The following is a 10,769-nucleotide window of genomic DNA, read 5'->3' on the forward strand; positions in this document are numbered from 1 at the left end:
TTAATATCAGAATATATAAGGAACTCCTACAACTCAGTAACAACAACAATAACAATCAAAAGGGACATGAATAGACATTTCTCCAAAGAAGATATACAAATGGCCCATAAGCACATCAAAAGATGCTCAACAAAGTAATCATTATGGAAATGCATATGAAAATTGCAAGAGATACTTCTTTATACCCATTAGGATAGCCATTATAAGAAATAACAAGTGTTTGTGCATTGCTGGTGGGAATGTAAAAGGGTGCAGAGGCATTCTATGGATAATAGCATGGCAGTTCCTCAAAAAATTAAATGTAGAATTATCATGTAATCAAGCAATTCTACTTCTGAATATATACCCAAAAGAATTAAAAGCAGGGGCCGGGCGCAGTAGCTCACGCCTGTAATCCCAGTACTTCGGGAGGCCGAGGCCAGCAGATCACGAGGTCAGGAGTTCGAGAGCAGCCTGGCCAACATGTTGAAACCCCATCTCTACTAAAAATACAAAAATTAGCCGGGCATGGTAGCATGTGCCTGTAATCCCAGCTACTTGGGAGGCTGAGGCAGGAGAACTGCTTGAACCAGGGAGGTGGAAGTTGCAGTGAGCTGTGATCGTTCCACTGCACTCCAGCCTGGGTGACAGGGCAAAGACTCCATCTTGGAAAAAAAAAATACACAAAATAAAATAAAAGCAAGGACTCAAGCAGATTTTGTACACCTATGTTCATAACGGCATTACTCACAATGGCCAAAAGGTTGGAAACAACTCAAAATGTCCATCAACAGATGAATGGATAAACAAAATATGATATATACATACAAAAGAAATGAAATTCTAATACATGCTATGACATAGATGAACTTTGAAGACATTACGCTAAATGAAAATATAGGCTGGACGCAGTGGCTCACACCTGTAACCCCAGCACTATGGGAGGCTGAAGCAGATGGATCTCTTGAACCCAGGAGTTTGAGACCAGCCTGGGCAACATGGCAAAACCCTGATTCTACAAAATATACAAAAAAATTAGGTTGAGGTGGGCAGATCACATGAGGCCAGGAGTTTAAGACCAGCCTGGCCAACATGGTGAAACTCCGTCTCTACTAAAAATACAAAAAAATTCACCAGGCATGGTAGCACACGTCTGTAATCCCAGCTACTAGGGAGGTTAAGGCATAAGAATCACCTGAACCTGGGAGATAAAGGTTGCAGTGAGTCAAGATTGCACCACTGCACTCCAGCCTGGGTGACAGAGTGAGACTCTGTCTCAAAAAAAAAAAAAAAAAAAAAAAAAAAAAAGTAGCCAGGCATAGTGGCACACACTTGCAGTCCCACCTACTTGGTAGGCTGAGGTGGGAGAATAATCAGAGCCCGGGAGTTTGAGGCTGCAGTGAGTTATGATTGTGCCACTGTACTCCAGCAGAGGTGACAGAGTGAGACCTCACACACACACATGAAAGGACAAAATATAATATTATTCTACTCATATGAGGTATCTAGAATAGTCAAATTCACTGACACAGAAAATAGAGGTTATCATTGGCTGGGCAGAAACAGGGATGGGGAGTTATCACTTAAGGGTATACAGCTTCTGTTTTGAATAATGAAAAAATTCTGGAAATGAGTTCTGGTGATAGTCTCACATTATTAATATACTTACTGTCACTAGACTGCACACTCACAAATAGTTAAAATTGTAAATATTATGTACATTTTACTGCAATTAAAAAAAATCACATATAAGACTATCCAATAATTGAACATACTCCAGGTCTTCCCTCCATCCTAGAAACCAAAAACCTAAATAAAACATGATCAACTTAGTGGCCAGGCGCGGTGGCTCATGCCTGTAATCCCAGCACTTTGGGAGGCCGAGGCAGGTGGATCACGAGGTCAGGAGATCGAGAGCATCCTGGCCAACATGGTGAAACCCCGTCTCTACTAAAATACAAAAAATTAGCTGGGTGTGGTGGTGCACGCCTATAGTCCCAGCTACTGGGGAGGCTGAGGCAGTGGAATTGCTTGAACCCAGGAGGCAGAGGTTGCAGTGAGCTGAGATCGCACCACTGCACTCCAGCCTGGTGACAGAGCAAGACTCTGTCTCAAAAAAAAAAAAAAAAAAAAAAAAAAAAAAAACCATGATCAACTTTATCTTCATAGGATAGAATATGTTAAAATAGCTTTCCCTCAGGGTTGAGATTAGAAATAATAATCCAAATCTCTGGAGTCCATGGTCTATGAAAGGCAAGTCAATGCCTGGGTAAGTTAAGACCCCAGTATTATAAGGGCACAAAAGACACTAGAGAAATTACGCATGGATAATAATCACATGAAATCACTACTAATTATTATTATTATTTTATTTTATTTTTTGATACAGAGACATGCTTTGTCGCCCAGGCTGGAGTGCAGTGGCGCGATCTTGGCTCACTGCAAGCTCCGCCTCCCGGGTTCACGCCATTCTCCTACTTCAGCCTCCGGAGTAGCTGGGACTACAGGCGCCCGCCACCACGACTGGCTAATTTTTTGTACTTTTAGTAGAGACAGGGTTTCACCATGTTAGCCAGGATGGTCTCGATCTCCTGACCTTGTGATCCGCCTGCCTCGGCCTCCCAAAGTGATGGGATTACAGGCGTGAGCCACAGCACCCGGCCTATAATTATTATTATTTGAGACAGAGTCTCGCTCTGTCGCCCAGGCTGGAGTGCAGTGGTGCAGTCTCGGCTTACTGAAACCTCTGCCTCCTGGGTTCAACTGATTCTCCTGCCTCAGCGTCTTGGGTAGCTGGGATTACAGATGCCTGCCACCACGCCCGGCTAATTTTTTTTTTTTTTTTTTTTTTTTTTTGAGATGGAGTCTCGCTCTGTCGCCCAGACTGGAGTACAGTGGCACGATCTCGGCTCACTGCAAGCTCCGCCTCCCGGGTTCACGCCATTCTCCTGCCTCAGCCTCCAGAGTAGCTGGGACTACAGGCACCCGCCACCATGCCCGGCTAATTTTTTCTATTTTTAGTAGAGACGGGGTTTCACCATGTTAGCCAGAATGGTCTCGATCTCCTGACCTCGTGATCCGCCCACCTCGGCCTCCCAAAGTGCTGGAATTACAGGCGTGAGCCACCGCGCCCGGCCCTGGCTAATTTTCATATTTTTTTTTCAGTAGAGATGGGGTTTCACCATGTTGCCCAGGCTAGTCTGGAACTCCTGACCTCAAGTGATCAGCCTGCCTCAGCCTCCCAAAGTGCTGGGATTACAGGTGTGAGCCACTGCACCCAGCCACTACTAATTATTTTTATTTTTATTTTTTTTTCCTTTTTTTTTTGAGACAGTCTCACTTTGTCACCTGTCCATTCACTGCACTGGAGTGCAGTGGTGTAATCTCAGCTCATTGCAACCTCTGCCTCCCAGGTTCAAGCCATTCTTGTTTCTCAGCCAGGTGCCACCACGCCTGGCTAATTTTTGTATTTTTAGTAGAGACAGGGTTTTGCCATGTTGGCCAAGCTGGTCTCAAATCCTGGCCTCAGGTGATCCACCTGCCTCAGCCTCCCAAAGCGGTGGGATTACAGGCATGAGCCACCATGCCTGGCCTGCTAATTATTTTTAACATAAAATAAACTATTTTACCATGTATGTATGTGTGTGTGTATTATTTATTTGAGACTGAGTCTCCATCTCAGCTGACTGCAGCCCCAGACTCCTGTGCTCAAGCAATCCTCCCAATTATAACTCACTGGAGCCTCAGGCTCTTGGGCCGAGGCGATCCTCTTGCCTTGGCCTCCAGAGTACCTGAGACTACAGGCATGCACCACCAAGTCCCAGCCATTTCTTTTTTTTGGTTGGGGGGTGGGGTAGAGATGTGGTCTTGCTGTGTTCCCCAGCTAGGGAACTCAAAGTCCTGGACTCAAGCAATCCTCTCACCTCAGCCTCCCAGAGTGCTGGGATTACAGGGATGAGCCACAACATCTGGCCTAATTAGCATTTTCCCTCAAACTAGACTGCTCAGCAGAAAGTAATTTTTTAAAAAATTCCATGAGAAGTCCAGGTATGGTGGCTCATGCCTGTAATCCCAGCACTTTGGGAGGCCGAGGTGGGTGGATCACAAGGTCAGGAGTTCAAATCAGCCTGGCCAATATGGTGAAACCCCGTCTCTACTAAAAATACAAAAATTAGCTGGGCGTGGTGCCACACGCCTGTAGTCCCAGCTGCTCAGGAGGCTGAGGCAAGAGAATCTCTTGAACCCGGGAGGCAGAGGTTGCAGTGAGCTGAGATTGTCCCACTGCACTCCAGCCTGGACAACAGAGCAAGATTCCATCTCAAAAAAAAAAAAAAAACAAATTCCATGAGAAGACTGGGCAGGGTGGCTCACACCTGTAATCCTAGCATTTTGGGAGGCTGAGGCAAGTGGATTGCCTGAGCTCAGAAGTTCAAGACCAGCCTGGGCAAGATGGTGAAACCCCATCTCTACTAAAATACAAAAAATTAGCTGGGCGTGGCAGCATGCGCCTGTAGTTCCAGCTACTCAGGAGGCTGAGACAGGAGAATTGCTTGAACCAGGGAGGCAGCGGTTGCAGTGAGCTGAGACTGCGCCACTGCACTCCAGCCTGGGTGACAGAGTGAGACTCTGTCTCAAAATAAATAAATAAATAAATAAGTAAATTCTATGAGATTTGGATTGCTAATGAAAATGTAAATTCTTGTAACTTTTTTAGAAATGAATCGGAGAAAGTATCAAAACCTTAAGGCTTGAGCCCAGGAGTTCAAGATTTGCCTAGGCAACATAGTGAGACCCTTATTTCTAGGGAGAGGAAAAAAAAAAACTTTAAAAATATTGATGCTGTCGGGCATGGTGGCTCACGGCTGTAATCCCAGCACTTTGGGGGGCAGAGGAGGGCAGACTACGAGGTCAGGAGATCAAGACCATCCTGGTCAACATGGTGAAACCCTGTCTCTACTAAAAATACAAAAATTAGCTGGGTGTGGTGGCACGCACCTGTAATCCCAGCTACGTGGGAGGCTGAGGCAGGAAAATCGCTTGAACCCAGGAGGTAGAGGTTGCAGTGAGCCGAGATTGCACCACTGCACTCCACCCTGGGGAACAAGAGCAAAACTCTGTCTCACCAAAAAAAAAGAAAAAAAAGTGATTATAGGCCAGGCAGTGGCTCACACCTGTAATCTCAGCCCTTTGAGAGGCCGAGGCAGGTGGATCACTTGAGGTCAGGAGTTTGAGACCAGCTTGGCCAATAAGACAAAACCCCGTCTCTACTAAAAACACAAAAATTAGCTGGGCCGTGGTGGCACGTGCCTACAGTCTCAGCTATTTGGCAGGCTGAGGAACAAGAATCACTTGAACCCGGGAGGCAGAGGTTGTAGTGAGCTGAGATTGCACCACTGCACTCCAGCCTGGGCGATGGAGCGAGACTCAGTTTCAAAAATAAATGAATAAAAAGTGATTATAAATGGAGATTAGAAGGACAGTATTAAATCAAGAAAAAACTGATAAGAACAGCCGAAAACATGAGTTTATCTTAAGTCAATGTAAGAAAAGAAGAGCAGCTATCTTTTATGGTAATGATTTGGGGAAAGGGATGGGAGGCAGGGAAGAAAAAACGATGTCTAGAAAAGGGGCTTAGATGAGGGATTAGATACAGAACTATCTTAGTGATGAGGTGGCTCCGGAGAGGCTAGATTTAACTTGGAACGACGGATGGCCTAAGGTTTAGATAAAAAGTACCATGGCCTCCTCGGAATAAGGGCTTAAAAGCTAGACTAAGGGGGAAATAAGAAATTAATCTACACTTGCATGTAAAGTGGTAAAAAAAAATCCATGAACAAGTTATGCAAGTTATCCCTACCTGTTAAAACAAACAAACAAACAAACAAAAAACTCCTAAATCCCTTACACTACAGTAAGGGTAATTTTTGTCCTCAAAATGATCAACTGAACATGAGAAATAATGATGACCTACTGTGGAAGATTTGGAGCTGGGTGTCTGTCCTAGGGCCAAACTTTAATAAGAAAAAACAAAAACAAAGAAATTTTCTCCCCTATAGTAATACAGTTTCCTTGTCTAGCATACGAGGTATAAACAGTTCTATGTCTCATTATGATACCAAGTTTCTTCACTCAAAAAATAAAACTGCCAATATATCTAGGTTTCCATTAAACACTCACATTTTCTTTATTTGCAGATGAACTACACATTGCATCTCTCTTTCTATGGCCACGGTCCAAACCATTCGGAGTGCTACAAAGAAGCTGTGCCTAAAAAAGAGAGTTTGCTGAGAACGTCCAGCATCCTCAAGCCACAGGTGCAATGGAAACCCTCTGCCTCCCACCTGAAAAGCAAAACAAAACCCAAAAAAAGAGAGGCTACTCACTGGGCTACATTTCATTAGGTGCTGGTCATGATTCCTGCAGATTAAAACAAACTGCCTGTCAGGTTAGTCCCAAATACTGTTTGATTATTCTTCAGTGGATTGGTGCATCCCAACATTTTTCTATTTCATTCTAGGAGCCCTATTCCTAGTTGATATGTCTCTTCCAACAACAATACATAGGGTATTCTCTGTGGTAAATATCAAGACTCAAGTGACATCCTGGGGATAAGACCCTCATTTTGCCTGCATAACCATATAACATGTTCCAAAGATGAACGAGTTTTATACAATTTACAATTTACTAATTTTCCAGCACAGTGTATTGGGGCTAATTTTTTTTTTTTGAGACGGAATCTGGCTCTGTCACTCAGGCTGGAGTGGCACGACCTCGGCTCACAGCAAGCTCTGCCTCCCGGTTTCACGCCATTCTCCTGCCTCAGCCTCCTGAGTAGCTGGGACTACAGGCGCCTGCAACCACATTCAGCTAATTTTTTGTATTTTTAGTAGAGATGGGGTTTCACCGTGTTAGCCAGGACGGTCTTGATCTCCTGACCTCGTGATCCGCCCGCCTCAGCCTCCCAAACTTCTGGGATTACAGATGTGAGCCACCGCACCCGGCCGGGGCTAACTTTTTAAAAAAATTTAATTTCTGGCGGGGCGCTGTGGCCCACGCCTGTAATCCCAGCACTTTGGGAGTTCGAGGCAGGCGGATCACCTGAGGTTGGGAGTTCGCAACCAGCCTGACCAACACAGAGAAACCCGTCTCTACTAAAAATACAAAATTAGCCAGGCATGGTGGCGCATGCCTGTAATCCCAGCTACTTGGGAGCCTGAGGCAGGAGAATCGCTTGAACCCGGGAGGGAGAGGTTGTGGTGAGCCGAGATCGCGCCATTGCACTTAAGCCTAGGCAACAAGAGCAAAACTCCGTCTCAAAAAAAAAAAAAAAAAAAAAAGGCTGGGCGCGGGGGCTCACGCTTGTAATTCCAGCACTTTGGGAGGCCAAGGCGGGCGGATCACGAGGTCAAGAGATAGAGACCGTCCTGGCCAACATGGTGAAACCCTGTCTCTACTAAAAATACAAAAATTAGCTGGGCGTCGTGGCATGTGCCTGTAGTCCCAGCCTCTCAGGAGTCCGAGGCAGGAGAATCACTTGAACCCGGGAGGCGGAGGTTGTAGTGAGCCAAAATCGCACCACTGCACTCCATCCTGGCAACAGAGCGAGACTCCATCTCAAAAAAAAAAAAAAATTAATTTCTATCCTCCCTCCATGGATTTCATTATCTATCTGGGTTAGAGCATTTAAAGCAATTCAAGCTGGGCCCAGTGACTCACATCTGTAATCCCAGGACTTTGGGAGGCCAAGGGGTGGGTGGGGGTGGGGCGCTGATCACTTGAGGTCAGGAGTTCAAGACCAGCCTGGCCAACATGGTGAAGCCTCCATTTTTGTATTACTAAAATACAAAAATTAGCCGGGCGTGGTGGTGGACGCCTGTAATCCCAGCTACTCGGGAGGCTGAGGCAGGAGAATCGCTTGAACCCAGGGAGGCAGAGGTTGCAGTAAGTCAAGATGGCACCACTGCACTCCATCCTTGGCAACAGAGCCAGACTCCATCTCAAAAATAAAAATAAATACATAAGTAAAATGCTTGGTATGTGCTAGATACACAGTTTATTTACTCCTTACAATAGCTACTTTATGAGAAATGCTATTATTGTCTCCACGTTACAAATAAAAAAAATTAAGGTCCAATGAAGTTAAAAAAAACTTGTCAGAGTCACAACTGGTGAATGAAGTAGTAAGCCAGGAATCCACACACTGATTCCAGAGCTTATACTCTGTACTTTCTTTTTTTTTTTTTTTCTGAGACGGAGTCTCGCTCTGTCGCCCAGGCTGGAGGGCAGTGGCGCAGTCTTGGCTCACTGCAACCTCCGCCTCCTGGGCTCAAGTAATTCTCCTACCTCAACCTCCGAAGTAGCTGCGATTACAGGCATGTGCCACCACATCCAGCTAATTTTTGTATTTTTAGTAGAGACGGGGTTTCACCATGTTGGGCAGGCTGGTCTTGAACTGCTGACCTCAACTGATCCGCCTGCCTTGGCCTCCCAAAGTGCTGGGATTACAGATGTAAGCCACCGTGTCCGGCCACTCTGTACTTTCAATTACTAAGATACAGCACCTTTCACATACAAATAAAAGCCTATACATAAGTGTAGTATACCATTTTCCTTCATTTCCTTATAGATACTTCTGATTATGATGGTTAAAATGAATAGCCTTCATTTTCACAACACTATTTAGATGTGGAAAACTTAGAAACTGTTCAAGGTAAGGAACTAGGCCTCAAAGCCCACTTATACCCAGTATGAAAGGTTTTGTACTCTGCAGAGTCTGCACAGGATAAAATCTCTATGACCAGTGCTAAAAGGCTTTTGTGTGGGGTTCATTTAACAACAGAACTTACATCCCAGCTAAATGCACTTCCTGAAGTCCTGAAGAATCCAGGTGACCTGCAATCAAATATAAAGAATCAGTAAAAGGAGTTATTCTTGTCCATGCATCCTGTTTTTCCTTCAGATTTTCTTCATTACCAGTAAGCCGTATTAATTTCAAGGACTGAGCTTTTGAATACAAAGCCTCTCGATTGGTACCCATTTCATGGTACAAGGTACAATTTCACAGAAACGTAAGAATTTATATGTGTCACTAAAAGAAATCAAGTGTTGGGAAACACTACACTATGCTACCTATGGAGTTTTTTTTTTTCTTATGGGTAGAAAAGAAAGGTTATCACTCAGAAAATCTGAAATTAGAATTCTGGAAGGTTAACTTATGAAACATTCCTTTTGGAATATTTCATATAAAACATATAAAAATTAGTTGACAACATATTTCTTTTTTTTTGAGATGCAGTCTCGCTCTGTCGCCAGGCGGGAGTGCATTGGTGCTATCTTGGCTCACTGCAACCTCCACCTCCCGGGTTCAAGAGATTCTCCTGCCTCAGCCTCCCCAGTAGCTGGGCCTACAGGCACGTGCCACCATGCCAAACTAACTTTTGTATTTTTAGTAGAGATGGGGTTTCACCATGTTGGCCAGGATGGTCTCGATCTCTTGACCTCGTGACCCGCCCGCCTTGCCCTCCCAAAGTGCTGGGATTACAGGCATGAGCCACTGCACCTGGCCAACAACATATTTCTTTATGCTGGTTTCTTTGCCTCTGCTGAGATTAGACTGAGGCACAAAACTTCTCATATCCTAATGACTATACTTTCATTCCCACCATTAATCAGTCAACAAAATATATTCCTACTTGTCTAACATTTTCATATGCAAAGTAGCTCCTATTAGTGTTATTATCTTTCTCTTCCCATTGGCTTAATCATTCTCAAAAATCCTCTAGTTACCCACAAAATTCCATCTCTCTAGGCAGATTCTTTTTATACTTTCACCACCTTCCGTCTCTATCCTCCTTCCCTGTTTTCTCCCTTAAAAGTTATTCTTCCCTTTGAGGCCTTTATCTCCCTTCTCCCTACCAGTTTCATCAAGGTCTGCAGAAGTGGTAAGCTGAGTGGCAGTTATCTCCCCACTGCTAAGATTCGAAAGATCGAGGCAACGTTTTGGGGTTCCTCTGTTGAGACATAATAGTACATCGAAATTCCCATTAGATTATTATATCCTTAAAAGTCAAAGATCATGTCATCCTCTTCTTTTTTTTTTTTTTTTTTTTTTGCAGTGGAGTCTTGCTCTGTCCCCCCAGCTCAAGTGCAGTGGCACGATCTTGGCTCACTGCAACCTCCGCCTCCCGGGTTCAAGCGATTCTCCTGCCTCAGCCTCCCAAATAGCTGGGATCACAGGCGCCTGCCACCACGCCCAGCTAATTTTTGTATTTGTAGTAGAGATGGGGCTTCACCATGTCAGCCAGGCTGGTCTTAAACTCCTAACCTCAGGTGATCCACCCACCTCGGCCTTCCAAAGTGCTGGGATTACAGGTGTGAGCCACAACGCCTGGCCAAGCCTGTTCATTTGAAACACCCCTTAATGACTATCAGATCATCTGAACAGTGTCCAAATAAATCTAATTGCTTTTGGGAAATATATCAGACTGGGCTGAGAAAAATCTCCCACTACCATAATCTGTACTTTATTTTCTCCTTACCAACATACTGAAACAGATAATTTTTTTTTTTTTAAATGAGGCCCAGAGTTTATTGGCCGAGGGGGATCTTGACTCCACATTCCCGGTCCTGAGCACTATGAACACAGGCTTGATTTCTCCCTGGGGTCCCTAGTTTTTCTCAGGTACTACTTCTCTTTGCTAGTTGAGACATGGTATGATCAGAATTCAAAGTACAACTGCAATAACACTAATATTAATACTAATAAAGTGACCGACTCGTAATGCAGCGGT

General features: G+C 44.6%; 1 protein-coding gene across 17 annotated transcripts in view; it reads right to left on the minus strand.

The window, feature by feature from the left end:
* CDC25C (cell division cycle 25C) overlaps nucleotides 1-10,769 on the minus strand; it is a 53,091-nt gene that overhangs the window by 34,394 nt on the left and 7,928 nt on the right. For 12 of the 17 annotated variants that reach the window (NM_001364026.1, XM_047417954.1, XM_006714739.4 and 9 more), the window contains 4 exons: nucleotides 9,895-9,989; nucleotides 8,826-8,871; nucleotides 6,363-6,396; nucleotides 6,157-6,246 (listed from right to left, as the gene is read on the minus strand). In NM_001364026.1, the coding sequence (NP_001350955.1) occupies nucleotides 6,157-6,246; nucleotides 6,363-6,396; nucleotides 8,826-8,871; nucleotides 9,895-9,989 (265 nt within the window). The remainder of the gene's footprint in view (nucleotides 1-6,156; nucleotides 6,247-6,362; nucleotides 6,397-8,825; nucleotides 8,872-9,894; nucleotides 9,990-10,769) is intronic. The other 5 variants (XM_047417953.1, XM_011543761.3, NM_022809.4 and 2 more) reach the window with 3 other exon arrangements.

This window comes from Homo sapiens, chromosome 5 (genome assembly GCF_000001405.40).
Source record: "Homo sapiens chromosome 5, GRCh38.p14 Primary Assembly".
NCBI lineage: Eukaryota > Metazoa > Chordata > Mammalia > Primates > Hominidae > Homo > Homo sapiens.